Source organism: Homo sapiens, chromosome 11 (genome assembly GCF_000001405.40).
Source record: "Homo sapiens chromosome 11, GRCh38.p14 Primary Assembly".
Taxonomy (NCBI): domain Eukaryota; kingdom Metazoa; phylum Chordata; class Mammalia; order Primates; family Hominidae; genus Homo; species Homo sapiens.
The window spans coordinates 128,597,299-128,623,761 of NC_000011.10; the positions used below are offsets into that span (position 1 = coordinate 128,597,299).

Consider the following 26,463-nt stretch of genomic DNA (forward strand, 5'->3'; position numbering starts at 1 on the left):
TGCTCAACTTTGCCTCCATGTCTGCTCCATATGAGAGGGATTTCCTCTTCCCCTTCATCCTTTGATTTGTTTTCTCTTTAATTTGTTCTACTTTCTTTCCCCTGAAACAATGAAATGTGATGCCTTTTATCTTTCATCAGAAGATGGGTGATTGGCTTCTTCTTCTACTGCTTCTGCAAACTCCGCCCCCATCTCCTACTGAAAGCGAGGAGCCTGTTTTGAGCCCCAGGGATAAGCAGGTACTTTTACATGTGCTCCTGCACCAGACTCATCTGACCTGTATGCTGCTGGTGTAGAAAATTGACTTTTGGAGGTTTAAGCAGGTCTCTACCTTCTTGAGGGCTCCAGCCAGAGGCAGACTAGGAGGAAATATAAAAGGCACACTCAAACAGAAATGTTGATTTTTCCTCTTTTAAAAAGAGCAGTAGGATTTTGTGTTCTACATCAAAGAGACAAGGTTTTTCCACTGTAGTCTCTAAAAATGGATAGAAGACTCAATTTGCTCACAATTTGGAATATAAAGAAATTCCTTAGGTCTGATACAGTAGTTCATAAAAACATTTATGGGGTTTTCTAAAACTTCCATATGCAATCCTGCACAACTGGATTATTTTTATTTTTATTTTTATTATTTTTGAGATGGAGTTTTGCTCTTGTTGCCCACGCTAGAGTGCAATGGTGCTATCTCGGCTCATCACAACCTCCGCCTCCCGGGTTGAAGCAATTCTCCTGCCTCAGCCTCCTGAGTAGCTGGGATTACGGGCATGCGCCACCAGGCCTGGCTAATTTTGTATTTTAGTAAAGACAGGGTTTCTCCATGTTGGTCAGGCTGGTCTTGAACTCCTGACCTCAGGTGATCAGCCCGCCTCAGCTTCCCAAAGTGCTGGGATTACAGGTGTGAGCCACCCCACCTGGCAACAACTGGATTCTTGAGAAAATTTTCAAGCCAGTTGCTTGAAAGAAAGGATTCTTCCCTGCCCCCAGGCTAACTAAGCTACTAATGCAACTGGTTTGAAACTAACAAAGGCCGGGAGATTAAGTACACGTTTGAATTTTATCTCTGCATATCTCTGGAGTCTGTCAATTTGGGTGTCTCAGAAAGACTCAACATCTCTCACCGGAGTCTTCTGAAGCACATCCACAGGGAAGATACAAGAAGCTTCTGATGTTTTATTTTATCATGAATTCCATTGGCCCCAGAAACCTGTGATTCTGGTGTAAAATAGGAGGGGAGTGGGAATAGTCCTGGCTATTTAATTATCTCAGTAGGTGCTGATATTCCCACATATCAGCAAGAAGTATTCCAAAGAACGATGACATCAGATCACTGAGTGTCTTCTGAGACATTTTGTTCTTCATTACTTCTCTCCCCTCCTTGTCACTGTTACCAAACACAGCAATGACACTCATTGAACTAGGCACCACTCCCTACTGTTGGCCTGTGCTCTTAGCATAAGATCTCTTCTCATTGAGATGGTGAAAAATAAAATGAGAAAATAGAGAGAGAAAATGCTTTGAAAGAAGAACACTTTGCATATGAAAGAAATTGGAGATTTTGTTTATGATAGCTCAGATGAATCCTGCCTTGTCTCATTGCAACAGCCTGTTATAATATTTCATTGTTGGAACTGAAATTGCCTCATAATAGACAAGTGTCATAGGACTTGGATCAGTAGATAAACACTACAGGGAAGCCTATTTCAGATCAAAATGGTGAAGTGCTTTTGAACATTTAGAGAGCTTTTGAATATTTGGAGCCATTCAAAAACAAAATGAGTGCCTGGAAAGCACTGAATAAGTTGAAACAGAGCTATAAGACCAGCTAGCAGAGATGCTGTAGAAAAGTTTCTTGCACTGGACCAGACAACAGCTAACATTCTATCCCAGTAAGAATCTGGGAATTCACTACAATGATTTTTAATGCTGCTTTTAAATAGGTGAAGGGCTGTAATGTAGAAGAGGAAGTGTTTTCTTTCAGATTATCAGACTAAGCCCAGTTGATGGAAAGTATAAGAAGACGAACTTTGGCACAATGCAGCCAATGCAACAATATTCACAATATTCATGGCATTTAGAAATGCCATATAATTAATTTTTTCAAAGTCGGGTAGATGTGAGAATAATCTGACCAAAGCTAATCCACCAGTGTTAGACCTCAAACTTTAGATTCTGCATCCAGTTCTGAGTTCCATGTCTCACATACCCCTTCCAATCTAAGGCCACACATACTTGGCAAATAGTCTTTTAAAAATTAGAGGAAAGCCATACGTTAGTGACCATTTGCTGACAGTCCTTATCCGATCCTACTCCCTTATAACTGCTTCCTTTCTCAGACTCTCTCTCAGGGGGAACACTAAGTTATATGCCTGAGCTCATCTCAGGCCTCCAGAAACTAGATTGAATGGAATAAAAACTCTTAATGAGGAATTTTTTCTTGTCATGGGGGTTTTACATGTCTACTACCATCTAGGAAGCCCTCTCCAACTTGATCCTATAGCAAAATCTTTTTTCAGCCTCTGTCTCTTCTGCACTTAGAAATTTTTCTGCCTAACTTCACCCTTCTGAGAACCACCAGCAGCTCCACTGTGGGATCAGATAGTCACATTCTTGATGACCCTATAGATAAATCCAATGAGCAATTGCTGCCGTGCACATTACTTAATTGTTTACATTCAGAGTGATGACTATGTTTTACTCATCTTCATATTCTTAGCATTTTGCTTGGTAACTAAGTTCTTAGGAACTTCTCAGTATAGGTTTATTTGGTTGAAAATATGGATATGTTTTGCTTTATTTTAGAGCTGAGGTTAGTTACAGATGGATTCTATGACATCCTCAAATGCAACAAAACGTGAGTATCTTTAAAACTGTAGATATCGTTAAGAATCTCCCAAGATGCCATTTTGGGATACTATGGAAAAGGAGCACAGCGTAAGGAAGCTCTTATCTCAAGGTCTTTATACTTCTTCTTCCAGCTGCAGTTCCACATAGTTCTCTCCCTCACTTCATGAAGGTCACATGAAAATGTTAACTTGTCAATGAGGTCTTGCCTAACTATCTTATATAAAATAAAGCCTCCATCCCCATCCATAGCACTCCCTACCCACCTTACTCTGCTTTATTTTTCTCCATAGGACTTATCGCCATTTGACATACCATGTGTCTGCTCACTTATTTGTTCACTGTGTGTCTTCCCCCTCATTGGGCAGAAAGAGACTTTGTGGGTTCACTCATTGCTTTTTCCCCAGGTCTAGAAGAGTGCCTGGCACATACCAAGAAGCAAGGAAGAGCTCAACAAACATTTACTAAACAATTGAATGATGAATAAGAGAATTATTGAAACTAAAAAACATAAAATTGCCCAATAAAAATTCAATAACACGACTGAAAAATATGTCAAAGAAGTCTCTTGGAACAAAGAACAAAAGTTTGCAATACAAAATGTGAAATAATGTAAGCTGAGACATAGAAGATTAATCCAGGATAGCCAACATTTACTTCATGAAGTTTCCAAAAAAGAGAGAAAATAAAAGGGAAAAATATTAGAAGAAAATTTATGAGAGCTGAAGAAAGTCACCAATCTTAAAACTGAAGTTTCAGGCCGGGCGCGGTGGCTCACGCCTGTAATCCCAGCACTTTGGGAGGCCGAGGCGGGCGGATCACGAGGTCAGGAGATCGAGACCATCCCGGCTAAAAAACGGTGAAACCCCGTCTCTACTAAAAATACAAAAAATTAGCCGGGCGTAGTGGCGGGCGCCTGTAGTCCCAGCTACTTGGGAGGCTGAGGCAGGAGAATGGCGTGAACCCGGGAGGCAGAGCTTGCAGTGAGCCGAGATCCCGCCACTGCACTCCAGCCTGGGCGACAGAGCGAGACTCCGTCTCAAAAAAAAAAAAAAACAAAAACAAACAAAAAAAAAAACTGAAGTTTCAGCCAAGGATAAGAGAAAATACAAAAAGCTTTTAGAGAAAAGTTAGAAAGTCACCTACAAAAGAATGAGAATAATTAGATTGGCATTAGCCTTTACATTAGCAGCACTGGACACTAAAGGGTAAGACAGTTATATCTTTAAATTTTTTAAGAAAAATCATTTTGAACCTAAAATTCTGTACTTAAACCATCAATCTAGTATAATAAAATGCAAACATTTTAAGACCCACAATGAATATGAAAGTTTACCTTCCATAAAGTCTTTCTAAAGAAATAAGATGATGTTATTTAACAAAATGAAAATAGAAACAAAGAAAGAAAAGAAAATGAAATCCAGATAACAATGAACCTTATCCAGGAGACAGATATACAAGAGGCATTAAAAGAAGTCATCCAAATTAGAATAGCAAATTGTCTATTATCTTTGAAAGAAGGTAGATTATCCCATAGCAAATAATTATTAAAACGTTAGATGAAAGGTGAGGTCATAAACTGCTTCAACTAACAGGAAGAAGAAAAGCTATTAGAAACACCAGGGAAAACAAAAAGCTATGAAAGAAAATGATATGAAAAAAACTAGAATGTGGTCTGATTTTAACCAATTCATAATGTATAAGAAAGAGAGTCCACTTGACCTTAAAACTTGGAGTATTTTTTATCAGTACACAAGTTTAGTGACACATATTTATACCTTATTCTGTAAAGTCTAGTTATACAAGTTGGTTCTGTGGTGAATTATCTTAATATGAATACATAATTATCTTAAATGAGATTTTAATCTTTAGAATCAACTTAAAGTCAAAGTATGAATGGCTTAACTTAGGTTACAAAATGAAATGTAAATCTAATGTTGATGATATTAGTAACTGGAGATGTATGTAAAAAAGTAGAAAGAAATATGGGGGTGCTAATTTCTACATTTTACATGACATGAAATCAGATATATTATCTAAAGATGATGGATCAAGAAATAAAAATTAAAGTATATTATTTAAAGTTATAACAATAGCTAAATGAAAACTAAAATTTTTAAAAATAACTTAAAGATTTGGAAATTGATGGGGGTGGGTGTAGAGTAATTGAGCTACATTTTATGTCTTGTACTGATGGTTCATTGATATGGTTTAAAGTAATTATATCAAAAAGTATATATAAGTATATATTTCAAGAGGTGGAAATACATAAAATATGGAATTAACTACTAAATAATAAAAACAGAAAAGGTTTAAGTGGTTACCTTTTGAGAGTGGTTTAAATGGTTTAAGTGGTTACCTTTTGACCAACTGTAGTATGGGAATGTTAACTTCCACATTTTCATAATATTCTGTTCTTTTTTTAATTAAATAAATTTTATATATTTTTTAATCTGCTTTTTAAAAGAAGAGATTATTTGTATTGGAAACTGCTGGCCCATAGCCACTTCTCCTATGACACTTGCTATGTTGGGATGAGACAAATCAGACCACAAAATTTTTTTCATGAAAATCTGGCTTTCTTTTTCTGAGATGGTTTACAAAGAGGCTATGAAGACCTTTGGAAATATTATAGAATTTGGAATCAAAAGAAACAGGATAATTGCATAAAAATCTTTTAATAAATTTTTATGCCTCAATTTTCCTACACTTCAATGGGCTTCTTGCCCATAATTTTGCTCCTTTGAGTCCCAAGGAGATGAGGTGTTCAAATCCTGAGCTATAGGAAACCCTGCCAGTGGTCGTTTTCTGTCGATAAGCCAGGAGTTACGGACAAGAGCCGGGCAGTTTTTACACATTTCTGGCATGCAAATAAATGTGCCAAATGTTTAAATTACTCTGTATGATTTCTAAGTCAGCAGCTTCAATGCTCCCTATGGTAGAATCAAATTTCTGCATGAAGATCTTCTGAGGAAACTGCTGACTTACTGAACACTCTGTAGCCAGACACCCACACAACTCACAGCACACCTTGAAAACACCAAGGTGGCAGGGTGGAGGATGGGGAGCCTTCTTTGCAGAGGCCTAAAGAGCCAGCCTCATCCTCCATACACATGGCTCTCCTTTCTTCTAGACAAGGGCCACCCCGGTTCCTCTACCCTTGCAGTGATGTTGTTTCCATGGGTTATATTGGGTTGGGGAAGTGGGTGGATAGGAAATATACAGAAAATGCAAAACAAAACTGATTTGTGCAAATCCTCATCTGGGAAGCCTGCATTCCTGGTTGCCTGCATTTATAATATTAAGGGGGTGGGGGAGGAAATTACAAATAAGGCAGTCAATGAGTTAGTATGAATCGGATCTTTGTTCTTTGGCAAACCCTGCCTGGAAAGCTGAGTGCAGGCTTCTCATTGACTTGCAGCATCAGTTTTACCGAAATGGCTTTAAAATCTGCCCAAGGTCCATTCTCCTCCTGCCAGGCCAGAAAGAAAAAGAAAGGTGACCACACAGCTGGACACCCTGTGGTCAGTTCTTATGAAAGGGGCAAACTCTGTGCAGTGCCTATACACTCCATCAAAATATGGGAAAGGAGCTGGGGAAATGGTCCCATGGAGAGACCTGGGAACAGAGAAAGGGAGCCGAAAAAGAAATAATTCTCCTGGCTCTGTTCTATGCCACCCACAGCAATGGGCTAGATACACTCTCTGAATGCCAAACTTGTGCTTCCCAGGCACCCTGCTGCCAAAATATAGCTGGAGAAAGCAGCCAGAGAACCCCATAGTCAAGGCAAGCACAAGAGCTTAACTGGAGACAAGACTGTGGGGTTGAAAGGGAGGGAGATGAATCCTCTTAGATGTGTGTTGACTCCTTCCTAAGTTCAAAGCATTTATGCTTTTAAATCATCTCTCCTCCAAGTAAATTTGTGGGACAAGCTGTATTTTCTCCACTTAATAGACGATGAAATTGAGGCTCAGATTTGATTTGGATCATAGCCAGTTTGCATAGATAGCACCAGATTCTATTCCTTGGCCTTCTCACTTCAGGGACTTTTTCCTAGACCACATTACCAGTAGATGTCATTCTTTGACCAGCAGACAAATGCCAGAGAGTAGAAATTCTAGCCACTTGGCTGAAAGTTCAGGTTCAGGGAGTATCTTCAAGAGAGGGAGGGACTCGAGACCAGTGTGCCCAGCTCCTTCGCCTCTGCCCCACCCAGAGCTGAGGGCCTGGACCTCATGTGCCCTCCCCACACGGTGCCTACTTTCTCTTTTACAGAGACTCTGTGACCCCTCAGGGCCCCCAGATCCTCAATCCCACTGAGGCTTTGCCTCAGGTTGGGGGGCTACATGTTTCCTCCAGACTAAAATATTATTCCAATAGCTTTATTTTTATATTATTATTATGGTTTGTCTTTTGTTTTTTGTTACTTATCTCCTCTGGTCATGAGTCGCTGCATACCCTAGACCAGGTGGGTTCAAATTTCCCCTATTCTAATTTTAATTTCCACATGATCAGAATAAACATGGCTGCCTTGAGATCTCATTTTCCAGTGCTGCCAGAAATGAAAATTCCACATAGCCTAGTGGACCTTCCCACCTCCTTTCACTGGACAGCTTGCTGTTTAGAGGCTCCTGCCATTCTTAACACGGCAGCTGTCACAGCAGTTAGCCATGGAAAGACCCATTCTCTCATTTGATCCCATCTCCCTGCCAGGACAGGATATAGGCCTTAAAAGTGCTTCCTGGTGTAAGGACTGAGTCGGGGTTTATTTATCCTAGGTTACAGCAAACATTACTTCAAAAAACAGGAAAGAGAGTCTCATCTTGTTGATTATGATACCAGTTATAGCAATGAGGTGGAGGCGTTGTGGAAGTGGAGCTTGCATTTCCATACAAGGCTACCTTGGAATCTCATCTATTGTTAGGGAGCCGAAGTGTGTCGCTGTGACAACCCTAATAGAACCTTAGGAGTACTGGCTACTCCTGCTCTCATGTTCCTTAGGGCCATCAGAAATAAAAACAATTATATCAGCTTGTGACTTTCTTAGATTGGTCCTAATTTACAAATCTCCTTATGGGCAAATTAACTGTCCCATTTGCCTTTCACTGGGATCAGCTCTAAGATACACTCAATAAAATGTTTAATTAAGACTGATGGAATACTAGAACTCATTCTTTCTAAATGCATTTTTGTAAGGAAATTATATCTAACGATAATTTGTTGTATAGTTCAAAACGCCTAGAAGAGAAGAATTATAATGTTCCCAACACAAAGAAAAGATAAATGCTTGAGGTGCTGGATATCTCGATTACCCTGATTTGATCATTGCACATTGTATACATGTATCAAATTATCACATGTACCCCAATATCTGAACAATTACATAGCAATAAAAAGCAAAAACAAATAAAAAAGACAGATTGAAAAAGAGCCAGTTGATCAGGAAGGGAGGGAAAGAGAATGTGCAAAGGATTCCTGGGCTCATTTGCATGGAGAAAGCAAAGTTGAATAATGTCTCACCTCAAATTCAAGAAGTATTTCCCTGCTAATAGCTGCATTGTTAATAATACTAAGAGCTAACACTTATTAGACGCTTACTGCTTGTCAGGCACTGAGCTAAATATTCAACAGGCATCATATCATTTAACAACACTAAGGGAAGTGGTGTTATTATTTCTATTTTGTTGAAAGAAAAAAATGACTGTACAAGCAGTTAAACAATTTGCCCAAGGTGACACACAGGTACGGATACAAGTAAAGGGCAACCTCAATTCAAATTGGAATTAATCTGACTCTTGAGCCTGTATTCTTGACCACATGCCATACTGCCTTTCTGCTCTTGGTTTATTTTTGGAGAACCAGTGCTGTCAGAGAAGAATAGTGAGAATATTGCTGTTATTCACCAGGTAATTTTAACTCTGCCTTTATTTGTGAGAGATAGTTGTTTTCCTTTTCCACCCTCCTTGGTCCTCAACCGACCCACACCTTGTCCTCCATGGCTCCCCTCTCCCACTTGATCTCTTTAGCCTCTTTCCCATCAGAACATTAACTGATGGTTGAACTAAGAAGCATCATGACCAATGACCTTGGATAACTCCACTTTCTTACAGCCCCTGCCTCAAACAGGGATTAAGGAAGAAAATAATCTCTGGGATGCTACCTTCCATGAATCAGGGTCTAGCACCAACAAATATTTGGGTATGATTCATCCAGCATCTTCACTCTCATTGTCATATTTGATGTGTGGGACAACTATATGAATTAGGCCAGTCAGATAATACTACTTTACAGATAATACAACTGAAGCTCAGAAAGCAGGTGCAGTTGAGAGTTGAGCCAGATCCGGTTTCAAATCCTATCTGTTTTCTATAAAATAATGGCAGCCTCTTCTGAGAATGAGAATCTGCCCCATTCATGCCACCCTAAAGAGATGGTTTGCTTTACCTGGGACTTCGAGCTCCACCCTTGTGGCACAGATGTCATTCGTGGAGGTTAAGTGTTCTTGGCGGGCAGAGGTTTCCATGAGAGCTCATTTATGTTGGCTACAAGACTGTTCTTCTCCTAGCATGTAAACCACATTATTTTGGTTTTCTTTAGTTGTTTGTCTTGCTTTAAACATTGTCTTGATAGAAAAGGAAATATAATGTCTTAGGTGTCAATGTAAAGTTTATCAACAAGTCTACATAGAAATATGCATCTATAAATCCAGACTATAAAGAGCAATGACAAATGAATCAAAACACCTGGACTCCAGCCCAGACCTCCCAGTGAATTTTATGAAGCTTTGAGAGAGCCACTTGCATTCTCCAAGCCTCAGTTTCCATAAAGGAAACAATGGTGGGCTAGAGGATCCCTACAGAGTAGCACTTTCCCGGTATTAAAAACCCATGGTTTTTAGGATCCTTAGCCCTGCCAATGGTTATCTGAGCAGGGGAAGCATATTTGTTTTAAGCAACTGGGAGTGTAGAAGACATGGGTGCTTCCTTCCTGGGATGGCCAGGCAACAAGAGGCATGTAAGAAGATTTCCAAGGAAGAGAAGGCAAGCCATGGGGCTGAGTGGGAGCAAGTTGGTCTGCTGGGAAGGAGCAGAAATACTGACCACCTCAAGTCCTGAACACCCAGTGGAGGTCATGCCTTTCCATGGGTGGTCTCCAAATTCTGGGCATGCTTTTTCTTCCTGTTTCCAAATAGCTTAGCAAGCTTAATCCATCCACACAACATGTAATAAGCTCTTCTGTGTTCCAGATATTTGATAAGAACTGAAAATAAATGATAAAGCAAGATTCTGTTCTTAAAGAGCTTATCAGAGGAGTAAGTAACAAGAAATGGTGTGAATTTTTAGCAGAAGCTTGTAAAACATCAGACGAGAAAAACACGATATGTGTGTTCTATATGGATTGGCAGGGTACATTATTTTATACCAACTCATGACGTTCCTTACCCATTTGATGTGTGTTAAATCCTAGTTCCCCAAGTCCATAAGGAGCTCCTTGAGGGCAGGATCAAGACTCATGTTTATTTGTTCAACGATACCTCACCCAGCATTAAGCACATCAAAAGTTGTTCACTAATCTGGACAAGTTCTTCCCCTATCTGGACATGTGGTAGAATCCCACTCCCTGCCCTGTTGAAATTGGGAGTGGTCCTAGGATGTGCTTTCACTGATGAAATTCGAACAGGGTCACTTGGCAGAAAATTAGAGGACCACTGAAGAGTTTCGGCCTTTCTGTTTGTCTCTCTGGCACGTGTCAGGTGACAGCTGCTTATCAGCTAGGGCCCGGAGTAACTCTGATACCATGGAACAAAACCCCCTGCCAGCCCAGTGTTCATGCAGCATGAGTAAGATGTGTTGCTTCAAGCCACTGAGGTTTGGCTCTTGTTACCACAGTGTAACCTAGTCCAGTCTGCCTGGTACAGAAGTGTTCCACAAATATTTGCTGATCTCTGTACTGATGCCTCGATTATAGCAGATAGGTAAGGAAGTAAATAAAGTAAGTTGGTAGCAGCCCTAGGAAAGTCTACCTCCACTGGAAAAATACTTTCCCAGCTCTTTCTAATATGCCGTTGTTCATATTTCTAGCAAAGCACCACAAGAGGCCATTGACATTCCATCTCTTTCAGCATTTCTTCCACTTTGAGGCTGCTTTGTGGCTGCTCAAACTCAGATTTAAGTTTGCTGTGAACCTTAGCAGTGAATGCCTCTATCTTTGCCTCAAGACTTTTGTAGTCAGAATAGGCAATGCAATAAGTAGTCCTAGATAGAGAATGGTAGACAATTTAGGGAAGAGTTAAATGAGAGATTGTCTGAAAAAGTGTGCGAAGATTGGAAAGGAAAAGTTCCACCGAGACAGAGCTTCCCAGGGATTGCAGTCAAAAACCACTAGGAAATTGAGATAGATGGTGATGCCTTTAGGAGCTTGGCCTCTGGCATCAGGCAAACCCGACCTTGAATCCCAGCTATTCACTCACCTACTGAGTGACTGAGCAATTTACTGAACCTTTCTAACCAATTCAGTTTCCTCATCTGTCAAACAAGAGTAAGGATTGAGCTCAGCTCTTAGGGCCATTGACCACATAGGAAAGTAATTTTCCTTAATAATAAGGACACATTTTTATATTATGTGCTTTTAAAAGGAGCCTTAAATAAAGAGAAGTGAGATCATTTTCCAGTGCACTTAGCATAGTAACGACAACATAGAAAGCGTTAAAAAAAATGACAGCTTAAGAAAGCAAAGGATGTGGAAACACTCACTGAAGGGCCATGGAACATGAAAGAGGGCTCTGCCTGGGCTCAGCTTCCAGGAAACTCTCAAACTCTTGCCCAGAGCATCGTGATGTAGCCATTGGAACCTCACGCAGGCGATGATGATCCTTTTACCAGATATCAGAACTTACCTAACCTTCAGCCACTTAAAAATGCTCTCTGGAAAGTATTCAACAAGGGCTTGAGAAACCAAGGAGACCCTGATGGAGGAGATGTCAAATAACGTGAGAGCCTTGTTCTGTCTAAGCTAATTTCCGGCACTTTCCAGAGAGTTAGAAGTGATTGGTCTTCGGTCTGCTCAGCTGACTTTGAAGCATTGGCCAAAGGGCTCGGGACAAGCAGGGAGAAGCTGGAAGTCGTCTATTGCCTCCACCTGGGACTGCCTCAATGTCCTTTTGTTCCAGCTGGATGTAGCCCCAGAAATAGCAGTAAAGGAAAAACATGTGATTTGAGTTTCCCCATCTCCCTTTTCTGTGCCCTCTCCCTTACCAGGGGATTTTTCCTGTGCCCAGGCACCCCATGTTTCTTGAAGTTCTGCCCCAGAGACAATTATTCCCTCCAGTGGAGTGGAGAAAACAAGAGACTTGGAATTAAAAGACACATACCCAAATCTGGATGCTTTCACATGCCAGTTCTTATCTGATTGCCCCTGAGCCTCAGTTTCCTGGAAATAGCAGTAACCACCCCACAGTAGGTAATTATTTTATTATATTATAGTACTTTAACAGATTTGGGTTTGATTTGAACAGCAGAGATAAGAAGAATTAATTTCTGCTCTTGTAGATGAAGCGAAATTTTTCAACCAGGTAAAATTCCCTAACTTGCTCACTCCATTAATTCCTCCAACCATCCATTCACTCAATAAACATGTATTCTGAGCCTACTATTGTGTTAAGTAGCACTAATTGACGAGAGCTGAAAGAGAATTCAGACCTTGGGAATGAGGCTGACAGAGAAACAGATGGTAAAGCAGGAGAGTGGCTGCGGTGTTTAAAGCAGCCCAGCAGATAAGGAAGGGAAGCATAGTGCACCCTAGAGAGCTCAGGAAGAGCATCCTGAGTGAGGAAATGCCTACCCTTAGTGTGAAGTGACGGCTTAGAGTGTAATAGGTAAAAAAAAGGCAGAGGGAAAAGAAGGCAAGGATGAGGCCGGGAGCGGTGGCTCATGCTTGTAATCCCAGCAGGTTGGGAGGCTGAGGCAGGCGGATGACTGAGGTCAAGAGTTAGAGACCAGCTTGGCCAAGGTGGTGAAACCCTGTCTCTACTAAAAATACAAAAATTAGCTGGGCGTGGTGGCATGTGCCTGTAATACCAGCTACTCAGGAGGCTGAGGCAGGAGAATCGCTTGAACCCGGGAGTCGGAGGTTGCAGTGAGCCAAGATTGCGCCACTGCACTCCAGCCAGGTGACAGAGTGAGGCTCTGTCTCAAAAAAAAAAAAAAAAAAAAAAAAAAAAAATTAAATAAATAAATAAATAATGAAGGTCAGGATGAGCTGAGAGGAAAAAAGTTAATTCAGGCAAAGAGAGGCAAGAAAGTAGAGTAAGAAAAAACAGCATTTCTGTGCTGCTAGAACATCAGAAGGTGGAAAATGATGAAAAACATAGATTTTCCTGGCACCCAAGAAACCCTCATTTTAGAAAGAGAACTCTAAAGTCAACCCCTCCTCCCAGAACTACCTCTGCAACTATCTGATCCTCCAAAGATTCCCAGGTATGTTTAATTCATGCTGAAAATGCAAGGAAAAATAAAATGTGATCGTCAAAATGTTCAAAGCTCCCTCCAAGTCTCTCTCCCATTTTCTGTCCCTTTTGTGAGCACCATCCCCCCAATGGTAGGAAGCATTTGTCTAAAAATAGCCCTTCTAAAAGACCCAATCTTTTCTGAGTTTCATAAAACATCTGCTGAACAGTTTCCTATAACTGTTTTTGGCCATTAAATCAAAGCTGGCAAAAACAATGTTCTGTTTCTGCCTTTAAAGCACAGAATCGCCATCAGGCCTTCCTCTCAGACCCAGACGACAATGGGGCCAGAAATAGCCACGGGAGGCTTTGAAACACCTAAAGGCCCGGGTCCAAGCACAGAGTTACTAGTGTCTTGTTTTTCTCTCTTTTAAAGTGGCTGTTCGTCTCCCAAGTACAGAAGAGAAACTTAGATAGGCCTAGCCTCCTGGGAGACGCTCTGCTCCCCCATGCAAATTACCACCTGCAGTGGTGGGGCGGTGTGGTTTGTGCAGCTCAGGGCTGGCAGAGAGCAGAGACCGGTAGAAGTCTCGTCCTACGTTGGCAGGGGCAGCCACACATGTGGAGTGGGCGTGGGGGTGGGCTGGCATCTGGCTGTATGGTTGCGCCTTCTCTATGTTGTGTCTATGCTGTTCACTGGGCTCCTATTTGCTCAGGTGGCACAGAACATGGGGGTTTGCAGCAACCTGTGCAAGTCCAGGGGAAAACTCACAGACACAAGGTCGAAAGATCTAGTAGGTTCTGTCCAGACTGTGCTTCCCACTAGCTGAGTGTCTTTGGCAAGACGTTTTATCTCTCTGACCCTGTCTGGGCTGCAGGCATCAGTGCAAAAACTGCTGGGCCTTGTATACCGCAGGAGGAAGCCAGGGCTTGGTATGATGCAGACAGAGGAACTGCTCAGGGCCAGGCAGTCAGGCACTAAGAGCAGCTCAGTGCTGGAGGTCGGCCGAGGGGCACGCAAGTCAATGACAGTGCTGGAACTGAGACCTCTGTCCGTGTGTACAAGACCCAGTCAGGGGCTGAAGACACATGAAACTGGATCCAGCCCCTGGAAGAAAAGAGGCTTTAGAATGCCTGCTTTCTCTAGGATAAGACTTCAGTCTGTACAGTGAACTTGAGGATTAGGTCAAAAACACCAAGGCAACCTCTTGATGCCAAGGAGTAAGAGGCCAGCACGACAGGTGAAGGGACACACGACTGAGAGATTCCAGAGCACAGGGAGTGTATCTGTGGTGCATATCTATAGGTCTCACATGGCACATGCTTTGGGTCCCAGGACTTCATACTGTCTTAAAATGGGTGACGGGGACAAAGTCATCAAACATTCAATGCCGTTGTCAGAGCTGGCTCAGAATGGAGATGAACCCACCTGTAAGCAAGGTGTGAGCAGACGGGGATGAGAGCAGCTAAGAGTGCAAGGGTGGAAGAGGGCTGGACGCAATGCACTGTGGCCCTCCTCCCCGGTCAGCTCTCCAGGCTTCTGTGCACTCTCTCCCAATTTGTACAGAATGGTCCTCACAGGCTTTGGTAGAAACTGGTTTCCATGTTCCATGTCCGTCATAATCTGTGATAGACTCATAAAACAATGGAGGATGGTCCCTGTAATCTGTGGATACAGTTAGGTGGATACCAGGTCTATAATTGCAAGAGCAAAATGAGGAGTGGGAGTGAACATGTCCTTCTCGTTGTGGATTTTCTCTGAACATAGCCAAGTAATGATCATGACAAGAGAGATGTTCACTCATTTTCTCTTTTTCTTTCCTACCTCCTTCTCTCCCTCTGTCTTTTCCTTTCATCCCTCCGTCCCCCCCCTCCCTTCCCTTCTTCCTTCCTTCCTTCCTTTCTCTATCTCATGCCAGTTTGTATTAGTAGCACTCTGAGAAGAGTTTAATTTAAAGAAAAAAAGATTAATATTTTACCCAAAACAGCAAAGCCAAAAAACTGTTAAGGTAAAGAAAAATATACTAACAGTGAAAAAAACCTTCACTTAACGCTACTGCTACCAGAAGACATGGTGCAAATTTGCTCAAAAAGGCATCATCTAGGAGATGCACGCAACATCTGAGCAAAGGATGCAAAGCCTGCCAACATTTTAGCTTGTTTGTGAAATTATTTCTGCACACTTGTCACTTTTTGAAGCAAAATGTGAGGTCTATTTATAGATCTATATTTATTTGATAGAATAGCATTGAATGGGCTGCTTTAGGGATTGCCTGTTGCAAATTAACTCCGTGTGTGTGTGTGTGTGTGTGTGTGTGTGTGTGTGTGCGTGTGTGTGAACTTGGGATGCAGTAATGAATAGCTTGGGCTGTGCTCATAGCTCCTGCGTTCCCACCCCATTCAAAACCTACCCCTCACTCTTTCCTGGCAGCCACGCACAGACTCCCAGACCAGAGCTTGGACCTGCATAGTGCCTCAGATGAGCACAGCATGTCAGCTACTAGTATAAGCAAAAGCTCAGCCAGGAAGAGGAAAGGAATGGGGCATCAGGTGGGCCAAAATGCTTGCATCCAATATTGTAACTGGGGGGAAAGTTTCACAGATGACCATTTTAAAATGAATTCAGTCAGTTTGCCATTTGGTTCTCATCCTGCCTATCCAGGGAGATGAAAGATCAGCCCCCAGTTTTCAAATATTATATTGGACCATGCAATAACAACAAAGTTGAGTAAGACTCTGGGTTTGCCCAACTTCTGGTCCCAGGCTCCTGTCCCAGCCAGCCCTCCTGCCCAGCCTCTCTATGCTGCTGTGCTCCAGCAAGCATAGCTGTGGCTGTGATGTGCACAAGACACACGTGGAGTGGTCCCTGAACCCCAGGAAGCAGACCAAGCTTCCCTGGCAAGGGCCTGCTGCTGCTCTTGCCGTGCTGTGGCTAGGCAGCTGGAACAGCAGGCACAGCTGGGTCTGGCAGTGGGCTCTGGGCATGGTGTTCATCTTCACCTGTCCTTCATCGGCAGGTTCAGGGCACTTTGCATTTGGCCTGGGAGTGCAGCCCGCTGGGTCCTCCCCAACTGCTTTTAGGGAGCCCTCTTTTTGCTTCTGCTTCACCCTTCCCTTCCTGTAGAAAAGACCAGTCCATTCCTTGGGGGAGGCAGACATGACCAAGACACCTGCTGTGGGTAGGAAGGAAAGGGGAGGACGGTTGGGCCGTCTCAGCTGTGCCCATGGTGGGCTTGCGTGACTGAGTGAGACCACGGCAGCTGTGAGTCCTGGATAGGGATGGGTTCTAGATTCAGAGGGGGCTCAGGTGGCTGTGGGTGCCATGCAATATTAAAATTCACCCAAGCCCTCATGCTGTGTGTGCAAAGGGGCAGGACTTTGGACCCCTCATTCTCTTGGAAGCAATGGAGCTTGTAGGGCTGAGAGGGCAGCAGGCAGCCTGAGACCTCACAGTAATGGGCATCGGGCCCTCCAGAGCAGGCTTCTGTCTGGGCTTAAATCTAGGGATAAGGAGAGAAGGCAGCCACGGACAGCACTCCATAGAGGGGAGGCAGCCTTCTGCACAGTGCAGTGCTGGAGCAAGAGCACAGAGCCTCATGCGTGCGTGCACACACACTCGCTTCCTCACTCACACCCCCCAGTCAGACAGCCCCAGCCTCCAGGCTGGCTCCTCCACCTCGCTTTGTGTCTAAGGGGAAATTGCTCAGCCTCTCTGAGCCTCAGATTCTTTCAACAACAACAATAGCTACAAAAATAGGCATTTAAATAATACTCATTTTACAGGATGGCTGTGATCATCAAATACAAGAGTATATATAAAGTGCTTCCCAGTTAGTGAACAAATATTTACTTAATTCATGTCTATTCCGTGCAGGTCTATGCCAAGCACTAGGAAGACCCTAGAGAATGAAGTAAACACTGTGACTGGGGGTGCGGGTGTAGGAGACGGACAATAAACACGTGAGCATGAGGCAAATGTGCATTCACAAGTGCTGATGACGACCTCTGAAAGATGGTGCTGGGACAGAGCAGTAGGGTGGCAGAGGGGGGGCCGGCTCTGCCCAGGACCGTCCTTGAGGAAGGGACATTTGGGTCACAACCTGAGGGTGACAAAGGGGACAGCTGTCAAAAGTGGCAGTGCTGTGTCCACTCCAGAGCACCTGCCATGTGTCACAAGGCTCTTGAGACTCAAAGTAGAGCTTGCGACCTGGTGAGGGAAGACAGACGACAAACCATGAGCAAAAGAAACTGCAATGGGCATTGAGTAGGGTCCTGGAGTTGGGCAGATGGGAGTTGGGAGGGGCGGAGGAGCATGCTGCCACCTCACAGAGTGGTCAAGGCAGGCATATTGAAGAGCTGGTATTTGAGAAAAGATTTGAAGACGGGGAGGAAAGAAGAGAATCATGGTCTCTCTGCTCTGGCTTCTTTGGAGGACACGCAGCTGACAGGAAAGCAGGAATAGCATCAAGAAGGTATTGAGAAGGGCGACAGAGCCACTGCAGAACTCCCAGGGAGGCAGAGCCGGGGCTCATCCTGGCAGGGGGGCCATGAGGAGCCAGAAGCCGCTGGCTGCCCCAGAGAGTTGTAAGCAGATCCAACAGGCTTCGCTGACGAATGTGAGTTGTGAGAAACAGAGAGGTGTGGAGCACCACCGCAGGGGCGTTGGCCTCAGAAACTGGGAGCCTGGAAGGGAAATTGCAGAGCAGGAGAGGACTGTAATGAGCCGCTGTGTGGCGGAGACCAGGCGTTCAGCTGTGGCCGTGTGAATTCCGAGATGACTGTCCTGTGAGTTCCCTGTGTGTGGAGTCAGAGGGAGTGGAGTTACAGGGGCTGGAGTTACAATGTGGAGTTACTGGCACATAGATGCCTTCTGAAGCCCACAGACTGGAGGAGAAGAGAATAAAGGACAGAGAACCAAGCACACCCCAAAGCTAAGAGATTGAGGAGAAGACCGAGAACCAGCAGAAGGGGCTGAGTAGGGACCAGAGAAGCAGGAGGGAGAGCCAGGGAGAGTGGCAGTCCAAAGGCCCACTGAGGAAGCACAGCAAGAGAGCGAGACTGATGGCATCACCTGCCACCAAGAATAGCAAAACAAGACGAGGACCAAGCATCAACATGCTAATTTCAGAGGGATCCGAGGGTTGCCCAAAGGCCTCTATCTCCAGAAGTTTCCTATTCAGGGGTAATTCCCTCCCTGCATCCCTGAAATTCCTGCCTAGAATTGCTGATTGGACAGAACTGCAAAGGCCGGGCATGGTTTCCAACACCAACCCGCCTCCACCCTCGGATTCACAAGCGCAAAGGGATGTCACCATGGGTCTAACCAAAGAAAAGTGGAATCAACCCTGGAGGGAAGGGGGTGATAACAGGAGTATTGTGGGGGAAAAATGGTCCAGGGAGTAGATACAAGTGACAGCCCTCAACAGTCACACTTTTCAAATAATTTTGAAATTCCCTTCTGATTCCTACACATCTCTCATCTGAAGATGCAGGTTGCTGAGGGCAGCTGGGCACAGGCTGGAGGTCCTGCTTTTGTACAGAGACAGCAGCAGCTGCCGTAGGGGGCCGAGGAGCACACAGGGAAGCCTCATCCACAGGTCCTGAAGCAACTCCCCCATCCCCTGCACTAGTGTTTACGGATAGGAAGGCCTGGGGCTGGGCCATGTGGGGAGGAAAGCCCAGGGTCTGGTCTGCCTGCTGCTGATAAGTAATTCCACAAGACAAGCAGAAGGAATCCAGACAGAGATCTAAGAACATCCAGATGCCCAGCGCAGCGGGCCCAGTTCCTGAGCCATGACAGGCTTTAATGTGCGCCCCAGCTCTTGGGGACAGAGGCCTGGCTGCCGGCCCTTCTGTTCTCTGGCGCAGACCCAGGCCCCCTGACCAGGGGAGGGGAATACTGGCTCCCTCTTCTCCACACTCCGAACACATGGCCCAGGCCCAGGACAGTTTTCAGAATTGAACATGAGCTGCTTAGTATGTACTTGATCATTTAAATGAGGTGTATGTGCAGGACCCTGTGCCAGGTACTTTAGATACTTCAATAGATTTGATCCTCACAGAGGAGCAAGCTGAAAAATAATCTCTATGGTGTCACTGAAAGGCAATCAGAACAGACAAATAAGAAAATGAGGCTCAGAACAATGAAGTACTTTTCCCAAGGCTGCACAGCTAATACACGGCCCTGCTGCATTCCCATCCAGTCCCTGCCACAGCGTCCCTGGGCCTGAGAACACAGCCCGCCACCGACACCAGCTTCCCGGACATCTGTGGAGAAAGAGAATACTCAAACATTAAATGCAATTTTCCTCCTTCTAAAGCATTTTGCATCAAGAAAGAAAGGGAGGGGGATCTAACAAAGCCGCAGACCATGTATCAAAAAGCACAGCCCAAACATCTCTGGGTCCTCACTTCCCTGCATTCTCCTTTCTCCAGAAAAACAGTAAATTGCCTACTTCCTTCTCCTGTGAGTTTGACAGAACAAAGAAGCACAGGACAAAAGCAGGGAAGGATGAAGTGACAACCACAGAACTATGGCTAATCAACTTGCCCCATATCAGAAAGGCAATGACCAAAGCAAGGTCTTTCCGTGTGCCTGGGAAGAGGAGCTGCCCAGGGGAGGGGCTCTCCTTCCTGACTTGAGACCACTCATCATCCTGCCCGGCAGATGGGATAGCAGCACCAGGAGGTGGAGAGAGGCAGAGGGAGGAGAGGAAAGAATGGAGTGATGGTGAATGAGGGAGAGAATTGGGGAAGAAGGGGTAGGTCCAGAAGGCCAGGAGACCAGGCATGTTTACTTTGAAGTTTTCTTCTAGCCCCCAAGTCTATGAGGTCTGGTGATTATGGGAGAAAGGGTGATTAGGGGAGAAAGGGTGATGATTAGGGGAGAAAGGGAGATTAGGGACTCCAGGGCTTTCACTGGGAAAAGCCAAGCATGAAAGAAAAGGAAGCCTCTAGGTCTCTAGGGTTAGGATAGACAAGGAGCAGCTGAGAGAATGTGGAAAGCAGAAAATGGGGATGTGAATACATGAGAGAGGCTCTGAGATGACTAAAAGAGAAAAGTCACCAAAGTCACCAAAGATGGAATAGTGAGCGGAATGGAGGTAGGCAGTGAGATGCATCTATAACTCACCTTATTCCTGTCCTCCACCTCCTGGGCCAAGGCAGGGGCACACGATTCTCCAGCCTGGGACCCCAGCTGCCCCTTTCATAGCCGCAAAATCTCTTTGCAAGCTGTGGTTTGTGGGCCTCTGTAGTGCCTGAGTTCCCCACTAGCCCGAGCTCTATGAGAAAGTAGGTTTGTCTCACGCCCCAGGTTGGCACTCAGGGGTCACTGGTTGGGTGGATGGACAAATGAATGCAGGGGGCTCTTTCATCCAACGTGACTGATCCTCCACAGGTCTCTTTCAGGGGTCCCAACCCTACTCCCCGCCAGGCTCTGTGCTGTGTGTGGGGGGCTGCTTCTCTTCCCTCCTGATTTCCAGCTTTGCCTCCAGATCTGTCTTAGAGATGAGAAGCACAAGGTCGGCAGAGGTGTGGTCTTTGCGTTTGTCTGCTGCCTCCAATCTGTGCCCCGGCTGGGGGAGGCGGGGAGAGGGATGGGAGGTAGGAGGTGGAGAAGGGGCTCTATGAATACTGGAGGAGTAGAGAATTTTAGCCAGAGATTTCTTTTTTATTGCAAGGAATGGGAGAGAAGGTAGTGGGACAGCAATGTCTTTTCCAAGCTGACCCTTGGCTCAACATGAAAAAAAAAAAGGCAGCAGTGGAAAGTGATGTCAGGATACCAGTAGTGTGTTTGAAAGGCAGGATCCCTGGGTCCAGTACCAACTGGCCCTGCACTCCCGAATCCAAGGCACTTCTACTGTAGTTTTTCAACAAATTTATATTCTGACCTGAGCTATACTAGATAGTACTCAGTGCTAGGATCAGGGCAGAGAGCAACATAGACCCCCTAGGCCCCCGTCCCAGTGGTGCATATGGCCTGCAGGGAGATGGGGGATTGAGCTTGCGAAAAGCTCTGTGGCAGAAAAGCACAGGAGGCTCTGAGAGCACAGAACAGGCCACCTGGCTCCACCTGGGAGGTCAGGGAAAGCATCTCCTATGAAGTGACTTTCAGGAAGAGGCTGAGGAGCAAGGAGGAGGAGCCCAGAGACGATGGAAAGGGATGGCACGGACCTGGTAGGCAGCCCTGGTTGGAGGAAGCCTGGCCTGCCTCAACCACAAAGAGGCTGCTATGGCTAAAGTGTAAAGATAAGAATGGGCCTAGGCAGCTCCACTGCCAATGAAAAAACAGAAAGGCTGGGGACACAAAGACCGCCCTGGAAGCTGAGAGTGACCGAAAGCAATAGGCCTGCATACATGTAAAGTTGAGGCCTGCGTACGTGAAACCACCTAAGACGTGCAGTGACTCAGGAACAAAATGAGTCGGGCAGAGGAGGCCCACTGTGCCTTAGGAAAGGTGGGGAGTGAAGGAAGGTGGGCACCATGGAAACAGAGCCGGAGGACCCAGCTGGGTGCTGGGAGCAGCATTTGTAGCATCAGGGGATGCAGAGAGCAAGTCCAGGCTCTGCACTCACCATTGAGTTAGGCTGCGTACAGCCAATTTTAGCTCTGCATCCCAGACTGCAAAGATGGCAAGTGTTCAGGAAAAGGAATGAGCTCAAATAAGTAGGGGAGTCTTGGAGAAGGAAGTAGAAAAGGCTGGAGTTGAAGACGACCAAAGGATGGGTAAATGAGGTGGAGGGTATTCCTGGGTGGGGAAAGAAAAGCAAACCTGAGGGAGGGTGCACCCGGATTGTATAGGGGGCAGCTGGTCAGGGAGATGGGTCGGACATGCAGGGCACCGGGCAAGGAGGGCCTTTGAGTTCTTGTCAGGGGACGTCCATGAGAGGCCAAAGAGCACCAGTGGAGGATTTTGAAAGGTGAGCGGCAAAACAGTGTAGGTGGGGGAGAGATTAATCCAACAGTGGTGGACAGCCCGGAAGGGAAAGAGGGGAGGGAGGCAAGTCAGGGGCCGCAGCAGCCTAGGCTGGGCAGGATGGGACTGAGGGGTGCACCGCAGGCAGGGGAGAAAATGCCAAGTCCGAGCATTTCTGAGCAGTAGCATGGACTGGGAGTGTCGGTGGAAAGCTGGCTCCTGGGTCTGAGTGACTGGGTGAAGGCAGGGGCAGTCTCTGCAGAAGGGCAGGCAGGGCTGGGGGAGGCCAGGAAAACAGATGGGGAAGGGGTCACTTTTGAGGAAACCCAATATACAAAATAAATTAAAGGGAGCTGCCCTGGTTTGAAAGTAGAGGCACTATGAGCCCTAGCCCTCAGCCCCCCACCCTCACACTCAGATCTCGAGGACTTCCCAGAACAAGGCTGGAAAGTCCCTGTTAGAGCAGCTGAAGATCATGGACCAACCCTGGGGCAGAGATCAGGGTCAGAGATGAAGATCTGGGGTCACCAGCATGGAGCTGATAACTAAAGACACATATGGCATCACCCAGAAGGACAGAGGCGGTGCAGGGCTGAGCGGTGGGGAGGCTCCCGCTAAGCACCCACCCTGTTTTGCCATTTCAAATGCCAGCTCCACGGTGCCACAGACACCATCTCCTGCTCAGGACTGTCCTTCCTGCACTGCCTCTCCTGTATCAGATTCTGTCTGACTCCATCTCTCCCTCCCTTTCTATGTGCCCCTGGTCCAGCACACAGCCAGCCTCCTTGTCTTCTTTGCTTCTTTCTCTCTTCCTTCTCCCACCTGCACAGGCACCCGTCCATCTGGGCTCCTTGCTTTAGACTCTCTGAAGCTTCCCACCGCCACTGCCCCCTCATCAGGTCTTTTTGGGTGGCATTTCTGATTTATTTTTAGCCCCTGTGCTATCCTGAGGATGTGAACAATATTCCTGAGTCATGATTTTGCACGGAAACAGAGGCAGACACTCCCTGCACATCTCTGAAGATGGCTTATCAACCTCTCGCCAGGCCTACAGGGGAGAGAGCTTTATCTGACAGTTCCTCTTCTGGATGGACGTTTTTCCTTCTTCTCCTCCACCTCCAGCTCAGCCTCCAGCTGCTCCAACCCAGCGGGCTTCAGTCAGAGAAGCCAGCTGTTCTGGGGCAGCAACTTGAGCTAACTTACCCGTATCCACATCACATCCTCAGCAGAGTTGGCTTCAGGAAAAAGGGATTGTGCGAAAGCCTCTGGTGTTTCTGTTATTGAAAACAGAGAGCAAACCAGTTCAGAGAATGAGCAAGGTGAAACTGTTTCTAAAGAGTCCTGTATTGGGGGCCAGAGACTTGGGTTCTAGGCTTGTCACCTTAAACAAATCACTGAATTCCACTCAAGGAGTATTTTCCAAATCCCTCCTCTCTGCGAGGCTCCAGCCTGGGTTCTGGTTTCACTTGAGTAAAACAAGCTGATCCTAGTAAATCATAATAATGGCTGTATTTATTGAACAATTACCACATGCAATGCAACATACTAGACACTCAGAAACACTGACATTTTTCACAGGAAGAAACTGGATCTCAAATTGTTAATGAAGTGGTATGGCCAAGAAATCCGGATTTAAAATCATTTTGGTGTCATCAAATCCCAGGTATATCCACTCCAACTCTCTCTTTCTTCCTGGGCCTCTTCTAGCCCCAATCGTTACCTGCCCCCATTGCAGAAGAAAGAATAACCAAATCTTAGACAATTACCCACTTGCCAGGTGCCCCGGCTGGCAGGGTAAAATTCAGTGTTTGGGGAGCTCAGAATGATGAGGGATTTGGAGATCCTTCACGCTACGGAAAACAGTCACCAAGCAGGACCCCATGCTTGGCTAAGCCTGTGAAATATCTAGACATAAAACATCTCTGCCAGCCAATGCTCCCAAATGGAGAAAAAAACATTTTGTGTCTGTGGCAAGATTTCACCCAATTCTATCATCCAAATTTTTAAAAGTAAATTCATTTGAATTTTGTCATGTAGTATCCAATGCGACAGGATCATCAAGTGTAAGATTACAGTGTCAAACCGGAAAGACCCAGCTTCCTGGCCCCTTCTCCCATGTCCTCTCTCTCTCTGTCAATCTCTCTCCCTCCCTCCCTTTTCTCAACAGCAATGCGCTTCCCCCTCCCCTGGCCCCACACACATACCTTTGGCTGCAGCTTGAGAACCACTGCTTGCCTTTTAGATGCTTTGTGATTTCCCAATAGAAAATATAAAACGATGTGCAAATTACATGGCTGGGGTAAGAGGTGGGAAAGAGAAAGAAGTCCTGAATCAAACTCAGAGACTAGTTTCTTCCAGATGGACGTGAATAATCCCAAGGGTGTTGCTCAGAGAGGGGCCGGTCTGCTGACCATGATGCAAGTCCTGGGACCCGGCTGTTCCCTGTAGGATATTAGTCACTTCATAAAACCTCTAGGCCAGTTTCCCAGGCTGTGGGGCCCTATAGGCAATTTCCCATAGGGTCTCAGAGCCTGAGAACCTGTGCATCTTACTGCCTGGTGGTCGGTTCATGTTGCAGCAGATGTGATTTGCCTCTTGAAACATGACTTCAGCAAATGTCTCAAGACAAAGCTGTAAACTTTCTTAACTTCTCTCGCAGAGGGAGCTCCAGGACCCAACCCAGCATCCCTCCTTCTGGCCATGACACGTGTCGGAGCCTGGGGAAATACAGAGCTTTTGCCTTGAGGAAATGCCACACGTGTGTTTCCAAGAAGCCACACGCTGGGAGTTCCAGGGATGTTCTTGGGGCAGATGAACGGACAGCAAAGAGCTTGGAGCAGGAAGTTCGGTCCCCAAGGCACTTCCGAGAGGAAGCTGAGGAGGGAGAAGCGTGGACTCGTAGGTGGCCAGATTCAGAGGTCACTCAGCACGAGTCCCTCCCACAACACTCCTGTCTTGCAAGCCTTGGGTCTTAGCTGAAACTCCACCTTCCCCTCCCCAGCAACTGATTTCACCCTTGGATTCCTTTCTAGGTTTTAACATTCTTCAGCAGCTGACAATCACATGGCAGGGCAGGGTGGTAGGGATATCTCATCAATGATGGAGTAAGGAAACACACTTATTCATTATTCACTAAGTCTATCAGCCCTAAAGGTTTCTTATTTCCAAACAGGAAGGAATTCAGATTTAAAAGAGGGAGAGATCAGAATGGATGACGATTAGAAGAAGAGAGGAAGAGGGAGGCAATGCAGCCAAGACACCAGACCAGGAGGGGAAGAGCTCCAGGCATCAGATATCTGTGCTGGGCGGCATCGCCCGACCCACAGGTGAGCACAGGTCCAGCTGGGGTCTTATGAAGAATGTTCTTGTGTGGACGTGAACACAGTCAGCGATGCTGTAGAGGTGACTCCCTGGACACACTCCCTTCGGGTGGCCCTGATCACCAGCCACTTGAGTTCTTGTGTCTGTGTCTTGATCTATCCCCAAATGATAATAGCAGCTTAGGATAAAGCTAAAAGCATGCCTCCTAAAAAGCAAAACTGGTATTTTCCTTCTTGATGATGAAATACATAAATGTGTCACTTTGTAGTGAAAAGGTGATGCCTCCGTAATCAGAGAGGTCACCTTGAGGCCTGAGTATGTAGTTTGAGGCTGAGGGCACAGCCGTTTGTTCCAAAAGCTCCTTGCAGTTTTGCTGTTGCTTAGGTTAGGTGGTTGTTTTTACTTTTTTTTTTTTAAACTTGTTTTTGTAGTGGCATCAATGTTCACATTCTATGAACTCTGTCCCCTAGAACCCAGACATCTTTTCTAGAAACCAAGATATTGTTTGCTTCCTTGAATTGTCTTTAGAAGTGCAGAATTTAGGAATTAGGAAAGTGATGGGTGGATGTCACCCTGCCCCTTGTGATTGACTCCTGAGAGTTCGGAGGGTACCACGCCCACCATTGACTTAAGCCGCTGTCTTTTCTTGTGTTTGTGGCCATCATTGCCCCAGCTGTGCTAAGGAGACCTGTGTCAAAACTTACATCCCACATTCCTGCTTTCCACAACCTATTACCTGCAGTGTTAACCCTAAAATGCCCACATGTATTGAGCTGGTCTTCTGCATTTAAGGATTTATCCCCCGTCCCCCAGCACCTCTGTGTGTAGGGGTAGCGTTCATAAACCTGAGTTTGCCTTTGTTTTCTGCCCTTGTTAGACCCTGGTACATGCAACAGACTCAGATTTATATTCGTTGTAAAGTTGTAAAAATATTATGAAG

The 26,463-nt window shown here is 45.5% G+C and overlaps 1 long non-coding RNA gene across 3 annotated transcripts, besides 7 other annotated features; it reads right to left on the reverse strand.

Annotated features, from left to right (window-relative positions):
* Positions 1-24,948, reverse strand: LOC105369568 (uncharacterized). Of its 3 annotated transcripts, XR_001748441.1 has the most exons (7): positions 24,407-24,948; positions 23,584-23,688; positions 23,406-23,476; positions 14,715-14,951; positions 9,286-10,101; positions 278-359; positions 1-101 (listed from the first exon to the last, which is right to left on the reverse strand). It is a non-coding gene; the product is annotated as an uncharacterized LOC105369568 (long non-coding RNA). The 3 variants fall into 3 exon arrangements; XR_948168.2 differs by lacking the exons at positions 1-101; positions 278-359; positions 9,286-10,101; positions 23,584-23,688 and adding an exon at positions 13,087-14,393; XR_948167.2 differs by lacking the exons at positions 1-101; positions 278-359; positions 9,286-10,101; positions 14,715-14,951; positions 23,584-23,688 and adding an exon at positions 17,042-19,552.
* Positions 5,928-6,007: an enhancer, noted in NCBI's record as "active region_5728". NCBI's record gives its function as "activates an Ori minimal core promoter by ATAC-STARR-seq in GM12878 lymphoblastoid cells {active_cell/tissue: GM12878}" and the evidence as "EXISTENCE:reporter gene assay evidence [ECO:0000049][PMID:35858748]".
* Positions 13,122-14,771: a transcriptional cis regulatory region, noted in NCBI's record as "chr11:128480315-128481964 region (GRCh37/hg19 assembly coordinates) targeted for CRISPR interference". NCBI's record gives its function as "positively regulates ETS1 gene expression in GM12878 lymphoblastoid cells {active_cell/tissue: GM12878}" and the evidence as "EXISTENCE:mutant phenotype evidence [ECO:0000015][PMID:33828297]".
* Positions 13,385-13,928: an enhancer, noted in NCBI's record as "H3K4me1 hESC enhancer chr11:128480578-128481121 (GRCh37/hg19 assembly coordinates)". NCBI's record gives its function as "activates a minimal SCP1, AML or CMV promoter by ChIP-STARR-seq in naive H9 embryonic stem cells {active_cell/tissue: H9 hESC(naive)}" and the evidence as "EXISTENCE:reporter gene assay evidence [ECO:0000049][PMID:30033119]".
* Positions 13,389-13,508: an enhancer, noted in NCBI's record as "active region_5729". NCBI's record gives its function as "activates an Ori minimal core promoter by ATAC-STARR-seq in GM12878 lymphoblastoid cells {active_cell/tissue: GM12878}" and the evidence as "EXISTENCE:reporter gene assay evidence [ECO:0000049][PMID:35858748]".
* Positions 17,898-18,397: an enhancer, noted in NCBI's record as "H3K4me1 hESC enhancer chr11:128485091-128485590 (GRCh37/hg19 assembly coordinates)". NCBI's record gives its function as "activates a minimal SCP1, AML or CMV promoter by ChIP-STARR-seq in primed H9 embryonic stem cells {active_cell/tissue: H9 hESC(primed)}" and the evidence as "EXISTENCE:reporter gene assay evidence [ECO:0000049][PMID:30033119]".
* Positions 18,531-19,031: an enhancer, noted in NCBI's record as "H3K4me1 hESC enhancer chr11:128485724-128486224 (GRCh37/hg19 assembly coordinates)". NCBI's record gives its function as "activates a minimal SCP1, AML or CMV promoter by ChIP-STARR-seq in primed H9 embryonic stem cells {active_cell/tissue: H9 hESC(primed)}" and the evidence as "EXISTENCE:reporter gene assay evidence [ECO:0000049][PMID:30033119]".
* Positions 24,413-25,612: an enhancer, noted in NCBI's record as "CDK7 strongly-dependent group 2 enhancer chr11:128491606-128492805 (GRCh37/hg19 assembly coordinates)". NCBI's record gives its function as "activates an origin of replication core promoter dependent on BRD2, BRD4, P300/CBP, MED14 and CDK7 cofactors, with strong dependence on CDK7, by STARR-seq in HCT116 cells {active_cell/tissue: HCT116}" and the evidence as "EXISTENCE:reporter gene assay evidence [ECO:0000049][PMID:35650434]".